General features: G+C 50.3%; 2 long non-coding RNA genes across 5 annotated transcripts in view, besides 2 other annotated features; one reads left to right on the forward strand and one right to left on the reverse strand.

Moving 5' to 3' along the window:
• Positions 1 to 4,667, forward strand: part of LOC124900669 (uncharacterized) — a 33,740-nt gene extending 29,073 nt beyond the window's left edge. For 3 of the 4 annotated variants that reach the window (XR_007058052.1, XR_007058053.1, XR_007058055.1), the window contains one exon: positions 3,997 to 4,075. This is a non-coding gene — a long non-coding RNA (uncharacterized LOC124900669). Of the gene's footprint in view, positions 1 to 3,996 lie in introns of all 4 variants that reach the window. The other variant, XR_007058051.1, reaches the window with a different exon arrangement.
• Positions 3,100 to 4,299: an enhancer, noted in NCBI's record as "CDK7 strongly-dependent group 2 enhancer chr4:13524914-13526113 (GRCh37/hg19 assembly coordinates)". NCBI's record gives its function as "activates an origin of replication core promoter dependent on BRD2, BRD4, P300/CBP, MED14 and CDK7 cofactors, with strong dependence on CDK7, by STARR-seq in HCT116 cells {active_cell/tissue: HCT116}" and the evidence as "EXISTENCE:reporter gene assay evidence [ECO:0000049][PMID:35650434]".
• Positions 4,668 to 6,128: 1,461 nt separating the features above from the next.
• Positions 6,129 to 11,227, reverse strand: LINC01097 (long intergenic non-protein coding RNA 1097). Its single transcript, NR_034054.1, has 4 exons — positions 10,958 to 11,227; positions 8,732 to 8,912; positions 7,961 to 8,056; positions 6,129 to 7,703 (listed from the first exon to the last, which is right to left on the reverse strand). It is a non-coding gene; the product is annotated as a long intergenic non-protein coding RNA 1097 (long non-coding RNA).
• Positions 8,107 to 8,186: an enhancer, noted in NCBI's record as "active region_21325". NCBI's record gives its function as "activates an Ori minimal core promoter by ATAC-STARR-seq in GM12878 lymphoblastoid cells {active_cell/tissue: GM12878}" and the evidence as "EXISTENCE:reporter gene assay evidence [ECO:0000049][PMID:35858748]".

An 18,752-nucleotide genomic window follows, 5' to 3' on the forward strand; every position in this document is an offset into this window, starting at 1 on the left:
CAACAACTTTCTTAAGGATGAAATGAAACAATATGTGGAAGACACCAAGCATGGAACCTAGCATGAAGCAAGCACTAGTTAATGGCAGGTGTTATCTCTATATTCAAGCGGACTTTTTTTTTAATTAAATAAGATAATTAGAGCAAAACGACCATTTACATATTTTTTAAAGCTCACTTATCAATATTTAATTCAGATGTTAATTGATTAATCATACACTGCCTATACATACCAGGTAAAAGGTGAAAACCTGGATCATGCAAGAAAATACTCTTCTACAAAAAAATGATGATTTTTTCCCTCCAAAATATTTGGTTATCAAAATGAAAAATGGCATTTTTCACTTTTCTCCCAGCTTTTTGCCATCTGAAAAACAAGTATGTTTTTCTTTTTATGCTACTTGCATGTAAACCAAATGGTATTTTAACGTTTATTTCAAGATTCATCTTGAAGCTGACTTTAATTTTTTTCTTACATGGTCCACAGTTAAGTAGAATTCTAAAGTCTTATTTTTAATTTTAATTCCAGATTCAAACTACTTTTTTGCTAGATTCCTATTTACTAAAAACAAAATAAAACAAAAATCTGTGAAAAATATATATGGGAGATAGTAGTTTGTACAGTTTTTTTTCAGTTCTCTTGAACACATAAGCAATTTTTTTAAATACAGGTAATATAAATTCTTTTACACTGCAACACCCATCATTACCCAAGAGTATTTATTTCTATATCAGGCCTGTTCTTTACCAAGAAATCCATTTCTAGGGATATAATTATTTTATTACAATTATTTTCAATTTTATGATTGAGAATAAAGGAGTATAGAAATCCAACATAAAAGGTACAAATGGCTTTTTGTGTGAGGAGGGGGTGAAAATTATTTCAAACTCATTTGCATTAAGGGAGCAGGGCAGCCTCAATTTAGTTTTCATATTTATAACATAGTTTTGAGTATAGCTCAGGCAAGCCAATGGCAAACGAACAAACAACAACAACAACAAAAACCTTTCCAGTATAATGAAGGACTTGCCATGTGGTCCCTGAAATGACCACTTGGTGAAGGAAGGGACACTGGCCCAGTGTCATGAGGAGTCTAGAGCTTCCTTATGTGTTGGGGCCAGGGTCACTGTGGGATGCAGTTATTATTACGCATATGCAGATAACATAGATTTGGCCAGCTTACACTCAATGCTGCCATTTTCTATTTGCCTCCCTCCATCCATGGAGGTGGGACTCTAGAAGTCAGTGGGAGTTCAGGGCACATGAGCATGTGTAAAGCATGCCCACACAGCCCAACCAGGCCCATAAAAGCCAGGAAATGAACAAGTTCAAGTTCTCATAGTGTGTTAATGTGCCCACAAATGTACCTACTTTATATATTTAACAGCTCATGTAGTAATGAAAAATGCCATGTAGAATATATAGGTGCATGTACAAGGTGGGCTAATTAATATGCCTATATTTGCTCCATAATTGTTTCATTCCCTATATTTTTGGTTAGTGTGAAACTGCAAACTTATATAAATAGTTTATATTTTATATGGAATTTCATGTAAAAGAAACCAAGGGGGAACGACAAATATGGCAAAATTCTAATGGTATTCTTACTGAATTTCATGAGCTCGATATTCCACCTTTTTTCCCCTATAAACTGCCAATATATTAACACAAAACTTTCAATTCTAGCATGATCATTCGGCAAGCCTATAGCTTAGCAAAAGGAAAAAGCCCCATGGAATGTTCCAAATCTATGGGCACTAACATTTCACATTTTGTCATGCCTCACCCAAGTTATCTCTGTACAACAGCCAGATACCGAGTTTGATATTTTGAAATCCAAACATGTTTGTCAGTTTGAAAACTAGGGAAGCCTGGAATAAAGAGTTGAATTTTAAAGTTTTCGTTATTACTAGTGAGCTCTGGGTTTGGGTTGTTTTTCTAGGACAAGCCAAAGGCCACTGAAGATGTTTTTCCATTAATTTTTCATAAGCATTTAAGCTAAAGGAGGGAAAAGGGATGGAAAGATGGGAGGACATGGTTTTCTTTGAGGAAGGAAATGAGAAATCACCGCAAATAATTCACCTGGATAGGTAAAGGCGAGCAAACACTGTCTGCTTGTGAATCCCTGACAACTTCCCTACCTTCCTCCCGAGGGAGAGGCAGAGCCTCTAGCTCCATTTCAGACCTGCAAGGAAAGGGCTTTGAGAAGGGAACTGGGGAGAAGCACGTTCCAGGTGTGGGTTCAGCTCGGCACTCGCCACAGGCCTCCGCAGGTGGCTCTCCTTGGCAGCGAGGCAAGGCGCAAACCCGCTGGCTTGGGAAGCCTGACGTGACCCCCGCCCGCCAAGCCTGGCAGGAAGCGACGCCGGGGTTCTCCGCAAGAAGAAGGCGGCCTCCGGGTGTCGGCCGCAGCCAGGCTACTGTGCTCCGGGGCAAACCGCTGCAAAGTCCTAGTGAGGCAGAACTCGACCCCCAACACTCAGCAGCCTGCCGTCCACCCATCCACACCCCCGTCTCGCCCCCTGCCCCAAGCTGGCAGATGCCTTGTCGCCCCTCTAAGACCGCACCCGGATTGGGTGGCTGCAAAGACGCTCGCCAAAGCGCTCAGAGCCCCAGGGAAGCCGTGGCGCCTGGCAGCTCCCTCTCCTCTGGGAGATCTGGGGGCGCCAGGGCTGCCGGGGCCTAGCACAGCGTGCGCCACGAGGCTTAAGGATGCGAAAACTACTGGGAGGCCGAGAGAGGTCCCGGGAGCAGGGGCTTGAGGAGGCACCTTGGGGCTACGGACTTCGCTGCCGTGGTGGCCTCGCAGGAGAAAGTGGCTTAAATGAAGAGTCCTGGCTCCAGGCTTGACGCCCAGCTAGATAAACGATCACCTCCCTGAGAGGAGGCCTTGGGCATGCCGTGTTCCCAGAGCCCATGGCACAGTGGCCCCCAGAACACGCTGATCGAGCAGAGGCCAGACACCATCCATTCGCTTGCCTACGCGCCCTACAGCCTTAGGCTTTGCTGTGAGGTCCCGAACCACATGCACCAGGACCACCCGAAAAGTAAAAGTGCAGATCTCTGGGCCTCGCCCTCATCTGCTGAAACCAAGCAATCTCTCCACTGTATTTTCTCGCGCGCTGAAGTTTGGGGCTTGCAAGGCCCTAACACTGCACCGGGCTTTTTCATTTTGGAAGCGCCCTCATCCCTCTTTAGCTTCACCACGAGGTAGACATTACCAGCTCCGTCTTCACAGAAGGACCTGCGGCAGAAAGAAGGTTAAGGGCTTTTCAAGGACCCACGCAGGACGTGGCTCCTCCGCAAACGCAGCGTCCGGCACGGTCAAGCGCTGCTAGCATGTGGGAAATTCACGGTCCCCTCTCCCGCGTACTTGAACCAACTTATCTGGCACTTGCCCCCACCCCCATTAATTGCTGGCGTTCGGGGGAATGGGGTGATTGTTGCGGGGCGGAAAGAGAGCTCCCAGTGTCGAGGGCAGAAGCCGGTGACAGCCAGCTTCACCTGGGACTGCTTCTGCCGAGAGGGAAGTGGGGTGGGGGGGTGCGGGGTAGGGGGGCGCGGAACACTGGCCTGGCTGCGCTGTACTGCCAGGTGGCCTTCTCAGGATCCCTCGCTGCGCCTCTCAGCCCCATCCCATCCAAACCACGCCCCGCCTGCGGCCACTAGCCCATTTTATCCCATTGAGCCCCCGTCCTTCCCCATCGCGGGGTTCCACTCCACTGGTGCCAGGGCTATGCCCCTCACCCACCCACTCCACCGGTGCTGGCTACCGCAATCTCTACCCGGGCGTCCAGATTCCTGGCCTTGTCCTTTCTGCTGGAATCATCAATGGGATCGCGCCGCCGCCGCCGAGCAGCCCTACACTCCTGGCTCGCGCTCTCGGCCTCCGGCACCTTGGACATCCCGCGTTTAGGGAATGGAAAGTGTGAAGTCAGTGGTGAGTAACTGGAGCGTGATATAACTAAAACTAAATCCGCATGTTCCTCCCTCCAGGCCGAGAACCCTCAGCGTCGAGGAGCCGGGTGTCGAGTGCAATCAGCTCTGTCTCTATGCGGATGTCACAGATCCAGTGCTCTGCTTGGGACAGAAGGACCCGGGTGTTGAAGGCAAGGTGTGACCGGCTAGCGGCTCTGAGCCACTGTGATCACCGTTTCCCGTTCGAGACGCAGAGGGGAAGACGCACGCCAACGCGGGCTTGGGCCTCTTCCGGGCCTCCTCCCTTTGGAGAGGCCGGGGTTAGCTCAGCAATTCCGCTCACTCGCTCCGTGCCCTGGAGAAAGAAATGTTCTCTTTGCAAGCTGCTTCACCACCTGTAACAGTAGGAGAACGATACCTTCTCTTTCCACAAATATTCAGAGAAGCCTACCAGATACCAGGCACCATTCTGGGTCCTGAAACACAGGAGAAGGTAGCAGACAGGCCTGGATAGGGATGCGAACTCTCAAGCTAGACACGAGTTTCAAATTCAGGGTCCATCACTTGGTTAGCTGTAGGACCACGGAGAAATCCAGTTCCTGGTACCTCGGCCCCCTCAACTATTAAATGGGAGTGGTAATATTATGACCCCCGTAGAATGGACGAGACCAATTATCTAATGGGCATAGATAGCTTGCCATGGTGGGCTGGCCCTATGGAAAGCTCAACAATTATCGTGGTGTTACCTGGCTTCAGACCGCGCATGTGTCCCCCAGTCTTGCTGACAACCTTTCCTTAGGACCAAAGGGAGGAGATGCAGACGAGAAGAACCGAAGGACTAGGCGGCATGCCGAGGTGCTCTTGCGGAAGCCAAACTTGGGCTCTCCGAAACAGGCCGGGAAAGCTGAAAGCACAGTGACCTCCTTCGCTCTCCCAAGCCGCTGGGTCGCCGCTACGCGCCGAGGCGATTAGTCAGTGAGGTCCGCACTCGGCGCAGACTGAAGTGCTCCAGAACTAACCACCTCCGCAGACGCAACGGAGCCAGGAGGGGCCTCAGGGGCCTCCAACCGCATGGCTCTTCCCAGCTTTCCCGGACACCAGCGCTGAGCACTGGGGAGCCGGGGAGCAAGCGCCAAGAGGAGCTTTTAAATTAAAATTTCCAGAGTAGCCTCAGAGAGGGAGGGAAATTCCAGTTGAAAAGCCCCTTCTGCCTCAGGACGTTATTCAGTAAAATGGACAGAAGCTGCCTCACAAGTGCTTTGAAAGCTTTTCTGGGATGGCTTAAAAATACACCTGAGCCTTCTTGTGACTATGTCCCAGAAGGTCCTGTTGGCCGCCTCACCCTTTTTTCAGGCAGTTATGATCTGACTTAATATAGGAACTCCCATTTTTCCAGCACTGTGCACCAAGCACATTGCCAACCATTTTACATGATTTTAATCTCAGTCTACAAAATAGGTAGTAAGCCTGTAGATCTTTCCATAGCTGGCACTCACACAGTAAGTGGTTGATAAGATGGAATAAGCAATCAGGATTTCTGATCAGGATTGCCTTCCCAGAAGGGACATTTGTGAACTCCAAATGAATTCTGCCCTTCCACTGGCCTCTTATGAAGGACTAAGAACCAAATGTCCCACTCAATTTCTCAATCAGACTTTAAGGCAGTCTTTCTGCCTCACCCAGAGATCTGGGGAATTATGATAATTACAATAGGAATGTTAGCATAGCAATTTGCCCTTTAGGAATAGGTTGGGCAGCAAAGGGCAGCTAAAGCACCGCTCCATGTCCTGAAGTCCTTCCAGTAGATCACAAGCGTACAATCAATCTAAGTCAAGAGCCTGTTTTCTCTGCCAGAACAGTTTGAAGACAAGCTTCCAACCATCCCCCAGACCCCCAATCTCTTCCTATAGGGAAATTCTGGAGCCTCCTCTGCTAAGTGGAAATTGTTATCTTCCTTGAACAGGTGGCAGCCAGCTCCGCCAGGCTGTGACTGATGCAAGGCCACCCAGCTAGTGAGTGGTTTTGTCAGTCTTGAACTCAGATTATATCCCTAAAGTCCTTGTCTCTGAGCAATCACACACAATTACCAGAACATTTACTAACTACCTCATCTTTCCCTACACTGGTAATGTCTGTAAAGGCCGCTTACATACCAAGAAGGAATAAGAGCTGACAATAGTGAGCTCTTACTGAATGTCAGGCATAGAGAAAAATGTTGTACATATATATTTTTAAAGCAAACATAAAGCACCCTTTCTGCCAGGTCTGGCTTTAAATGCTTTACATGTATTTATTTAATCTTCACAACAGCCCCTCATTTTACACAAGAAGAAATGGAGGCACAAAGAGATTGTTTATTACTTCAAAATTACCTGGCTAATATGTGGCAGAGCTAAACTTAGCATCCAGACCTCTGACTGGAGAGGCCTCCCTCCAAACTGCCTTTCTAGGCAACATTTAGAACATCTCTCTGCAAGGATCCTTCAGGCTTCATGAGCCTTTGGTAGCTTCCATATTTGTTTGCTTGAATCTCAGGCAAATACCTGAGATTCCTTCCCAGGTGAGCTGTGGTGTCTTTGAAAAATAGTTAATGTATATCGAGTACTTACTATATACACCAGGCGCCAGTAACTGCGTACTTGCTACATGCCAGGCATTATTCTAAGCCATCTACAAGTTTAAACTCATTTAATGCTCAGCAAAACCCTGTGGGATAGATTCTATCACTGCACCCAATTTACAGATGAGCAAACTGAGGCCCAATATCATGCAATTAGTAAAAGGTAGAGTTGGGGTTGACTCTCAGGTTGTCTGGCTGCAAATGATCCTGTGCTGGATGTGAAAATGGAGGTTCCATTTGTTCAGAGGCCTCTGCATTAATATTCATCATATCTTTTTCTCCCAATTTACATACAGGGATTTCTTTGATGGAATTTTCCTGCTTATCTAAAGCTTCAAGCAGCCTAAGAAAACAGCAGAGCCACTATCTTCAGGCTTGACCTCCGTCTTCTTACCAGTAAAATGAGCAGCTAAGGCAACTCTTGGAGGTTTGAGGCTTGAGACGTGTGCCTGGAACCTGAATAGCAGTTCCACAGCTTTAGGGCGCGTTCTTACAGGTGCCAGCGGTGCGACTACATCCACTCACGGTTTTTTGCCTATTTTCTAGGAGTTACAAAGTACATTCACAAACATCCTTGCAAAATCGCAAAGAAGTGTCCACTGCTGCTTTAGAGCTGGCCAAAAGGATGAGCCAAACAGGCTTCTACTCTGTCCTGATAATCAAATGTTTTCAACCTCCCTCCGTGGGCACCTTCAACTTATTTATGTCTAAAAATGTATTGTCAAGACGCTTCTTTTTTGATCAAGGCCCGATTTGGGTGGTGGGGCAGGGTAGGTGTTACCGAGAAGCCAGAAGCATTAGCACTTACACTGGCTGGTTCACCTTGGCCACATCCTCTCCACATCTCCTCCCTGGGCGTCCCCAAAGTCACTGGGTCAGAACCGAAATGGAGGCTTTGGCAGCGACCGCGTGTGATCCACAGCAGACGTCGGAAGCAGGAAGGGGCGTCCTGCGCGGTGGGACCCGCGCGGGGGCAGTGGCGCAGGCGCCAGGAGGCAGGTGCAGCACCGAGCCCGGTGCGCCGCTGCAGGCGGGTGCACGGGTGGCGAGAATGGGGAGATGTCGAGTGAGAGCCACGCCGAATTTCAGACCTTGGCGCGTGATTTCTTCTCCATCTCTGTTTCCCTAATGGGCACCTGGTCTCGTTGACACTCGTGGGTCATCGCTGCTTTTACACAAGGAGAAGTGCTCTGAGACTCGAGCTGCGCCCGCAAATTCAGGGTGGGCTACGCAGGGAGGGCCTGCGGCTCGCCCACAACATCCTCTCAGCGCTCAACGCCCCCCATCACTCCCACATCCCGCCCCCCGCCCCCTCACCCGCTCAGGGGTCAGCCGGGACTACAGATAGCCTCTGGGGATTCCCCGCCAGCCTCCGGAGAGCTCAGGGCTTTGGTCCTGCCTCCTTGCCTGACTGGGGCGTACCTGCAGTGTTCCCCTTCCAACCGCTCAGCAGTGGCGCAAGTGCTTCCTCCACTTGCGTGGGTGGCGTCTCAGCGAAGGTCCGCGCCCTTCGAGTGTCTGGAAAGGAGCCGTGTTGAGCTTGCAACCATTTTTGGAGTGGGGCATCTTTAACCCTATTTACAGAGGCGGTATCTGAGGTTTCTGTGATGTATTCCTAAAAGCAGGGTTAGTAAATTGTGAGCTAACTCCACTGGCCCCCGCGTGGATCTCCCTACTCCCCAAGAAAAAAATGCATTGATCTATATTAGAACTTCAAGTTAAACAGTGAGGCCCTGGTAGACGGGGTTACGTCTCTACTTCTGTATCTCAAGAGCTTCGCCCGGAGTCTAGCTTCAAGTGGGTAGAGGGTGAGGAGGGAGGAATGGGGGAGAGGAAGTGACCCCCAAAACAACCTACAAAATGTTGGTATATAGTAGGGTTCGCAGTATCCCCTGGACCTACTAAATTGGGTAACACGCGGGGACACGGATGTGAGAGTCTTAGTTTCGGCTTTCCGTCTACTAACCTCAGTTTCCTCACACCAGAAGTGGCCATAATTAGTCACGCCTGGTTTGTGTGAGTGCCGAAAGTGAGAGGAAGGTGAATTGCATCATCTCGTATTAGCGCTGTGATCTTGAGCAAATTACTTACCCTCTCTGTGCCTAAATTTCCTGGCACGTTGTCAATGTTTCCCCGAAACACCCCCCAAACCCCCCCCGCAAAACAAAAAACAAAAAACAAACAAACAAAAACCTTTGCCTGTCTTGATGGTTTTGAGGCTTGCAAATAAAAGGAGGGAGCCAGGTCTGCCTTTCCCGGGCTGAAGGACAAAAACAGTCTCACCACTGGGAATGGTTCTGTGCAGAATTTTCTCACCAATTACTAGCCTTGAGATCTTGGATAAGCTGCACTCTCCTCTGCCCTCAGTCTCCATCTATAAAACAAGTCACGGAAGATGCAACAGTCTCTGAGGCCCCGTCCAAGCTCTGGTCTTTGCTCCTTGGTGTAGGGGGCCCTCAGGTTGGAGGAAGTGGTTCAAAGGCTAAAGTTGGGTCCGTCCCGTGGGCCCCTCCCACTCCCCCCTTTTGGGCGCGGCTCGGGGGTGGAAGCCCTGGGCGACAGCACAGCTTCGCTGCGGCGGGGAAGGAGGACCGTCGGGCCCAGAGTTCCCGCCGCCACATATGGTCTGTGGATTTAGGTGTCAAAAACCGGAGAATTAGAAATGGTAATTTTCCGTCATTATGGCTGAAATGCGATCTGTCACAACAACTGGAACATGTCTCCGCGCTAGCGAAAATAATGTTCGTGATTAGGAATCATTACGCACGTCAAGCCGAGTCCATTAAGTTGTAGGGAGAAATTAGCCTTGACGGGCAGAATCAAACTACAAATACACAGGCCTCGCCTTCAGGAGGCCAAGCGGCGGCACTCGGGAGGAGGCAGCCGGAGTCGGTGTTTTCTTAATAGGAAACTGTCCAGAGAATTAATACTCCCTTCCCCGCACCCCTGTGGGATTCTCCCCTCCTCTTCCCACAGCCTAGTCCCCACCCTAGGAGTGGGAGGGGGCGCAGAGGCGTCGCAAACATTAACTGGAGGCTTTGAAGTCCCACAGGTCCCCCGGGCCAGTTCCCGCCTCACCAATTCCAAGCTGTGTGACCCTGCCCAAGTCACTTGACCCTCCTGAACTTTGCTTGCTGCTCTGTAAAAAAGGTATAATCCCACACACTTCATGGGTTCTCCCCAGGATTCACCGAAAGGTATGGTCAGTGCAAGCACGTGGAAACCGCAGAATCTGTTCAACCTTCTTTCCTTTCCTGGAGCTCCAGTCTCTGCCTTACCCTGGTGAAGTGGTGGGGACTGCAGTGTGTGTGTGTGTGTGTGTGTGTGTGTGTGTGTGTGTGTGTGTTGGGGCTGAAGCATTGGGATTGAGTGCCCAGAACTGGGAAACTTGCCAATCAGGCATTGAGCAAGGAGGCCAGAATCTCTGAAACTGAGGAGGGTGAGCACGGAGCAACTGATGTGCCTTGCTGGGCCTTGTACCCTCCTTCCTGTCACCCCAGGTAGGAGGAACGGCCCTGGGTCCTCCGCCTTGCCTGTGAGGCCCGCCAGAGCTACCTGCACACTAGGATCTGCACTGTCACCAAGGAGTGGCACGTGGTAAATGAAGCCAGGATTAAAAGCCTTCCCTTTCAGGCTGCTGCCCCGGTCTCCACTGGAGACAAAAAAAAAAAAAAAAAAGCCATTTACTATTCACAGTAGGGAGTTTTGGAAAGATCATCTCCCTCTTCTGCAGATAGGAAGGAAGGGAAGAAGAGGCTGAGCAGGGTCTAGAAAGGCGGGTTCCATCCAGCCTTGTGTGCCTGATCATCTTTTAAGAGCTTGCTCTGTGCCATGCACCCACTCCAAAGGGCTTTAACTACGTTATCTCCTTTTATCTCCAAGCCAACCTATGAGTCTCCTTATTCCTTGGGGAGAATGAGGGCCTGAGTTTAGGGAACTCCTCCAAGGGTCTGGAAGCTGGGAAGAAGCAGAAGTGGAAGATAAGCCTGGCCCTGCCACCAAAGCCTGTTCACCACTCTGCCATTTGGAGCTGCAAGGCTTCAACCCACCAAGTCTTCTATCTGGCTTTTTCATGGTTCCTATGGGCCCTCAAATTCCACCTCTCAAAGGGCTCAGGAAAATGAAATGCGCTAAAGGTAAAACATTCAGCTCTGTGCCTGACATAACATTGATGCCCATTTAGTCACTTACTCTCTCCGGGCCTCATTTTTCTCCTGTGTAAATGGTACCCTTATCGCTGCCTGGGGAAACCAACGCACGTGTGGCCCGCGCTGAGTAGTTTGGAGCCAGACAGACTAGGTTCGAACCCCAGCTCCACCGGAAATAGCCGCGGCCAGGGTAGTGTTGATCCCCAAAGTGGGGTAATGGAAGTTGAGCTGCTGGAAGGAATGAATGAAATAATTCATGGAAAGCACTTACTGCAGGACAGGAAAGCGATTAGGCGCTAAATAAAGCGCTGGTTACCAGGATGCAAAGATTGGCCCGCACAGGCTTGGAGGTTTGCTGCCCAGGGAGAAGGAGAAGCAGCTCTCAGGCCCTTTCGGCAACTTCTCGGCTTCCCTTGCATCTCTGAACGTTAGTGATCCGGACCTCAGATCCGGTTTCCGAGGGCGCCAGGGTCCTAGGGCTGAGGTCCATTCAAATGCTTAGGCGACTCTGCCGCAGGCCTCCGGAAGAGGCCCGGTCGTTAAGAAAGGGGGCGGGGTAAGGAGGAACGGCTAGCACCTAGAGCTGGGGCCTGGCCTCTGCCCCCACCGCCCTGCCTTTGGCAACCAGCGAATCAGGACTGAAACGTAGGGACACAGAGGGACAGAGACTAAGTCCAGGATAGCGACGATCAGTCAGGCAGACATGGAGACAGAGAGATAGTGACATGGCCTTAGGATCGGCAGCCACGAAAAGCGCTCTTACAAACATCTGATATTCCAGTGACCTTCCTTCACTAACTCCCTAAATAATACTGCGCCTCACAGGCGCTAATCCGCAGCATATTTTATTTTTCTTTTGGCACTGCCATTTCTTGTCTCCCACTAGACTGTAAACTCCACCAAGCGGGCAATCTTTCTTCTCTGCATCCCTGGCACAGAGTAGGCTTTCAGCTACTTTTGCTGAATATCTGAGCACTAAATAAATGAACGAGCAAAGAAAGAAGGAAAGAGAGAACAGACAAGGATTTCACAACAAAGATTTTTCTCTTTAAAGAAATCTCTGTTTACGCATTTCCTCGGAGCTCATTGTTGAGATTTTCCCCTGGCTGGCCACCTTTTGAAGGATAGGACTCCAATTCTCCTTCCTGCATCCTGTGGCCACCTTCCCAATGTGTGCTTGGCTTGAATTCTCCTCAGGCCTGAGCCCTGACAGCAGGGCTCAAGCCTCTTATAAATGAGACAAGTGTATTTAGGAAGTGCCTCACTGCAGGCAGTATTTCATGGAAAACAATTAATAATATAAATAAAATATTAGACATCTTAGGAAAGAATTGTTTTTAAAAATTCTTCTGCAGATTCTTTTGGACAGAGGGAATGCCCTGGAAAATGAAGCTCCCCCTCAATGTATTTCTTTTCTAAACCTTAAAAGCCTATATATTGAATTTATTTTTAAACCACAATTGCAGTTGCAGATGGGATACACATAACCTATTACTTCAAAGAAGGTTTCCAGTGGGGGCTGACTTCTCACTGTTTGGGCTGTTGTTACAGTCTCTCCACACTTTCTGTCCACCTCTTACCATCTTCGTAAATATATTTTTTAAATGGTACATGTCCTTGTTTAACTTTGCAAAACTTATTATCAGCTAGGCTACAAGTATTTAGTGGTGCCAAATACTCAAGAAGCATGTAATTCTTTCACTACCCCATCTTTGTATTTGGAAACGGAGGTATTCATTTTTTCAGCAAAGAACTGTGAACTAGGTCTTCAGGAAAGCCTGGCTCCAAATCCACCTCTGTTTCAATGGGGATTTTTCAGGAGGAAGCTTTCATTGCCTTCCCTCTTGAGAGTATCAAAAAGATGTCAGGCCTGAGTCACTGGGTTCAGCTTTTCCAAATGATTGCTCCTGGACGAGTCATCAGCTTCTTTTGCCTCTCTGACTCTCAGGGAATCAATACTACCTGCCTTCAGATTCAAGAGAACTGGCGGCGGAGAATCTGTTTTGTGTTTGTTTGGTTTTTTTTTTTTTTTTTGAGGTGGAGTCCGTCCAGAGTCTTGCTCTGTTGCCAGGCTAGAGTACAGTGGCACGATCTCGGCTCACTGCAACCTCACTGCCTCCCGGGTTCAAGAGATTCTCCTGCCTCAGCCTCTCGAGTAGCTGGGACTATGGGCACACACCTCCACACCCAGCTAATTTTTGTATTTTTAGTAGAGACGGGGTTTCACCATGATGGCCAGGGTGGTCTCGATTTCTTGACCTGGTGATCCTCCGTCCTAGGCTTCCTGGAGTGCTGGGATTACAGGCGTGAGCCACCGCGCCCGCGTGGAGAATCCATTCTTGAAACATAAAATGCTTCACGTAGGAATATTTCATCTGAAAACATTTCAGGGCTTATTATGTGTCAAACCCTGCGCTGGAAATCCAGAGAGCAAGAGCAATTGCTGGAAAACAACTATTCCAACATGCAGCACTGGCTTAAGCTCATGATCCCAATGGGTACGGGGGTCTAAATCCCTCTAGCCTCAACAAGGCATCTGGGAGAAGCTGCTCTGCCAGGACCCCAAGAGGTCTAATCCCCTCCCTCACCTTACCTCCTTTCCTCCCCCTCCCTGCACCCCCGCCCCCCACCCGCCCCCCACCCACGCCTCGGCCACCCCAGCACAGTCCCCCACTCCACTGCCAGCCACAGCCACTCCCAGGGTGTCTTCACACACCCCAGCTGCCACACTGCACCACAGTATCTTTCCAATTTTAAAACCATTTTCCAATATGAACCTGAAACGGGGAGTGTGTTTTCAGGGACCTTGTTTTTCAGCCCTTAGCTGGTCAGGGGAAGTTATGTGCATTTTAATGCGGTCAAGTATGAAATGATGGCATATGAGGTTTGCTCCCTGCCTAGGCGCCAGGAAAAATTCTGAGGGCTGAGGCCGGAGAACTTGACCCAGAAACAAGCCTGGCTCTTGCGTTGGGCCTTTGCCCCCCAGGACCCGCCCCCAGCAGTCCAGAAGAACAAGAATGAGAACTTGGCCAGGCTTGGAGACTGCTAGCTGGTCGTGCTGCCCCCACACCAGCTTTGCAAGGGTCTCCAGGCCCTCAGAGGGGTAGGTAGGAAAAGGTGTGATGGCAACAGACATAGATGAAGCTGAAGGATCCTGGCCTTATTCGTGTGTTCTTCCAGTATGGTTTGGACGCCAAAAAGCAACAAACCCCGTGCTAGATGCGCTGTGGCGGTAGTAAGTGTATGAGGTCCCATCCCTGTATTCTCAGAGGTCCCTAGGCCAGACAGCACCAGAGCCCGACACTGAGCCCAGGTGATAAGGGTCAGGACTCTGGGACCTGCTCAGGAGGGACTGTTAGTTCAAACTAGGGGAGTGGGTGACTCAGTGAAGACCTAAGACCTGCAAATCAGTACCTGAAGGCATATGGAGAACTTGGCCAAGTGAGGTCCTCCCTGCAGCCCGCTCTCTCTATCTGCTCTGCCCCGGAACGTCTTTTTCTTTCTCACCACCTCTGTGTGGGTGTGTCTCTAGCTTCCTTTCTCGCAGTCCTAGGGTCCAAGAATGCATTGCTCAACTTCTCCGGAAAAGAGGAGGGGCAGTGCCCCCGGCCTCCTCCGCAAACAGGGATTCCTAGAAGCCAGTCACCTTGGTGACAGCTCTGCACCCCATCCAGGATGCACACGGAGGACGTCCTGCTGCAGCCTGACTTTGGCAGGAATACTCTCGACCCGTTTGTGAGCAGGTTTACTACTTGGTTTTTGAATTCTCAAGAGCATCAAATCCATTGACGCCCTTCCCAAAAACACAAGCCAAAAGGAAGTAGACCGGCACAAACCCCAGGCCTGCCGATCCCTCGAAGCTTCGGGGACAATTCAGGGCCATTTATATGGTCACCCAAGCTCCTTAGCGACCTCTGAACCCACGCAGCCTGGTAATCTCCAATGGCCACAGTCCAGCGTGCGGCGCACAATGAGGTTGGACCGCTGGGGGACGCTGAGGTTCCGAGTTGGCATTGTGGGCATTGCCCAGCCACTCCTGCCCGGCCAGGTCCTCTGTGAGGAAAGCGGTGGCACCCCAGCGCGCTTGTGCTTGTGGGTGTTGGTGCGCAATCACCCCGCTGCCCAGCTCTCCCGCGCCTCCCTGGGAGGCCTTGGTGCGCACAAGGAAAGCCACTCAAAAATGTTAATGAGCTTATTAAAATGAGCGGCTTTATTGGCTCTCGTTTTACAGCGGGCTGCCCACCCTCTCTTTCTGGTGGACCACTGGCGAGAACACACTTGGGATTTTTTTTTTTTTTTTTTTTTTTTGTCTTAGCGCGTTTTTCATCTAAGGACAGGGGACTCTCCGGTTCTCCAGAGACTGGTGCGGCCACAGAGGAGGATTAGCCTCAGGCCTTCTCCCTACCGAGCGCAGTGAGTTTGAAGTCCTCCCCGAGGAAAACCTGGACTTTCCGAAACAGCTGACCGCTCAGGCCCAGGAAGGCTGATGGCGGAGGCCCAAAGATACAGTGACCTTCCTGGGGAGATCTGCGGGGCAGCAACTTGGGGCGACCCAAATCTTTAAAATAACAACCCCCCGACCCCCGCGCGCAAACAAAAATTGTGCTCAGGAAAGGCACGACTCAATATTTAAAGTAAAAAGCCTTTGTCCTTTACTCCACTACAAGCCAGAGGTGAGTCTGAACTCTAACCGTTACTCAGGAGTCTTACAACTTTTTTTTTAATGGGGGCCCAGAGAACAGAAGTTAATTGCCTAAAATTCACCAAGTCAGTGGTAGAGCTGCCTCAGACCTGAGGAGCCCGCTCAGGTCCTCAGGCGGCCTTACTCTATGTACCTATGGGGTCTTTGAGCCCCATTCGACCACCTCCCACTCAGGCAGCAGAGAAGTTTCCACATCGTGCATCCTCCCCCTAGGCGCAAGGGCACACACCAAGGTCCTAAGGAGAGAGGCTGAGTGTAGCCACAGAAGGGGGCCGGGACAGAGACGGAAAGAACTCACCAAAAAGCCCCCCAGGTCCGCAGCACAGAACCCAGCGCCGGATCCTCATGCCGAGAGTTTAAAGTCGAGATTGCAGAAGCAGTGCGGATTAATGCAGGCGCTCACAGGGGACCAGGAGGGCTGCAGAGACTAGGTGCTCTTGGCTCCGCGGGCGCACAAACCGCAACTGCTGGCGGCACCAGGGACTGCGAGCAGGGGCATGGAGTGGGAGGGAAAGCTGAGGAGAGCGGGCTTTGAGCCTGGAGAACTCGTCACGCACGTTCACGCAAGCTTGGAGGAAACATTTGAGCTCAGGAGCGAGCTTACCTCGCGGGAGGCTCAAGGGAAGGTGACACCCTCACTCCCGCAGCTACCGTGCGTTCCCTTTAAACCGTTAAATTCCAACACGAACAGAGTGGTGCGTTTCGCAGTGGCCGCAGATTCCGGGTCGGCTCTGGGTGGCCAGAAGCCACGCTCCTACCTTTCCCCGACCGCCTCCAAGCAAAAAGCAGAAACGGCAGGACTCAAGGTGGAGTGCGGGGCTGCAGGACCATTTGCCCAGTTCTTACATTCCAGAATTGCCCCACATTTAGACTTTTGACGTTTTCTTCATAGCAGGCACAACCTCAGATATACACCCAGCATGTTTAAAAGCAATTTATGGTTCAACTTAAACCTATACCCCACACTAGACCACCCCTGCCTGCAGGGGCCTGGGAATCAATCTTTTATAAATGCTTTAATAATTTGAACGACCCAATTTATGTTGAATAACTCCTGTATGTGACTACAAAACCCCCTGTTTATTAGGTGATGTAAGCATGTATAACACAACACAATTTTTTTGCACCGTACTTTGGCATTTCTTCCTTTCTAAAACGTATCGGGAGAGCAAAAACTGGCAGAGGCCAGGGCCTCTAGACCTTTGAGAGATCCTAAGCTCAGCAACCTACAGGACCCTTGCAATCCCCTGAAGGACACAGGAGTTCGAGGCAGATTGCTTTACGCCAGCCAATCCAGCATTGCCCAGAAGTTCATAATAATAATAATGGTAAAAATAACAATGAGCTCATACCAGTTGTACAGTGTTTGATGGTTTTCAAAATGTTTGCACACTTTTGTGATCTGGCCATTCCAGAAACAAAGCTGGCAGATGCCAGCACTAAAGGACAATCTACCCTGCCATACGCTTTGGACTACCATGACTTGGCTTCTAAATGAACTGCGGCAATGGATAAGTTACATCACCTCGTTAAGCCTCCGTTTCCCCATTTGTAAAATGGATGTCATGTGCACCAGGCTACAGGGAGCCTCTGCGAACCGGATCCGAACAGGATTTGGAAACGCATCACCTGTAACGTTCCAGACAAAAGAATGGAGTTGTTTTTGTTGTTCTTCTTATTGTTCAATATTGTTTGGTTGCTCCCCCGGCCCTCCCTCGGATTAGAAGCCTCTGCTGCTGCTTCCTTCGAGGCTACGGTCGGGCCTTCACCCATCGCGGTGGTTTCCGCAGCAGCTGTGAGCCCAGAGCGGTTGCAACCAGCGGCGCAGCTACCTGCCTTCAGCGTTTTCCGACTTACAAAGCACCACCAAGCATTTGGCATCTCTTGGAGACCCCACGCAGGTCTGTGCGGTTGCCAAGTAAGGTGGCTGGCAGGCTGAAGTGGGTGGCCTGCAAGGTTGAAGCCCTGCAGTACCAGGGCAGCTGCCTGGGCCCTTGCCTGGATCTGCCACGCTTCTGGGAAAGAGTGCTGCCCAAACGCCCCTTGTTCCTCCGTTGGGGTCCAGGAGCTCCTTCGACAGTTCCCCGGTTTAGGAGAACTGTCTGATTCTCTCTGTTGTTCATATTCCCTCTGCAACGCAGGAGCCTTTCTGTAAAGCGAGTTAAACTTCGTGAACTTTGCGTTGAGAAAGCCATATTCCACATTTTCTTCCCAAACACGGACTGAAATGTGGGTAGAGGAGAGTGGATTGTTGGCCTGGCTGGTGCTGAGCTCCAGCGGCCGGTTAGGGAGTTAGAGCCCTAGAACCCCCGCTTGGCAGGACTTCTGAAGACCCGGGATGAGGTTCTGCCTTTATAGGATGCTCAGTGTGCCATTGCCGGGGTCTGCTCCAGAGCGCTTCCCTGAGAGGAAACCAGGAGCCGGCATTCAGCACACTCCCCACTCCTCAAAAGCCCCCAGATGTCACCCTTCCACGGGCCCAGTTTCTCAGGGTTCTGGGCACTGACATGCCTGAGCCCCAACTCAGAGGGCAGGCACTTGTGTTTGAGCCCGATTACAATCTTCTCGAATGATGCTTCACTGTCACCCTGTCACCTTTACCAGCGTGGGGGAGCAGTGAGGGTGCTGGGATTCGGTGCAGCCTGGAAACCATTTATTTTCTAAACCGGAACCCAGTCTCAACTCAGCCTGCTCATCTAAGATACTCTCTGGCGATCCAAGAGGCCCTCATACCCAATCTCTTGAAATGAGATGTGGTTTGGGACTAGCCAGGTCTGTCTCTCTCTCTTTTCTTTTTCTTTCTTTCTTTCTTTCTTTCTTTCTTTCTTTCTTTCTTTCTTTCTTTCTTTCTTTTTCTTTCTTTCTCTTTCTCTCTTTCTCTCTCACACACACGCATGCGCACACACATACACACACGCAGACCCACCAGCTACATTTGGCAGCTGGTTGATCCCAAATTTGCTGCTAGGAGTAAGATTTGTGGGCTCGGCCTGAATCCTTGGGACCAATTTCAGTGCAAGTGACATGATGTTCCGCCCCCTTTACCAGCCATTCCCCTCGCCTTGGTTTACCCATCTGTAGAGTGGGTGGATCTAATTCGAAAATCCCCAAGGCCAAGTTCTAAGATTCGCTAAGCGCCAAAGGGACTGAGAACGATGAAGAGGCCCAAGGTTCATTGGGCCCAGGCGGCAGTTGCTACTGCTCCGGGGACCAAGCCCAGAGAAGGCCGAGAGGGCTCAGCGCAGCACAGGGATGCAGGCAGTGGGTGAACAGAGATACCCTCGAGTAGGGAGCAGGACTGTTCTTCATCTTTCCAAAAAAAAGAAAAAAGAAAGAAAAAAGAGAGAAAGGCGGAGAGAAGATA

This window comes from Homo sapiens, chromosome 4 (assembly GCF_000001405.40).
Source record: "Homo sapiens chromosome 4, GRCh38.p14 Primary Assembly".
Taxonomy (NCBI): domain Eukaryota; kingdom Metazoa; phylum Chordata; class Mammalia; order Primates; family Hominidae; genus Homo; species Homo sapiens.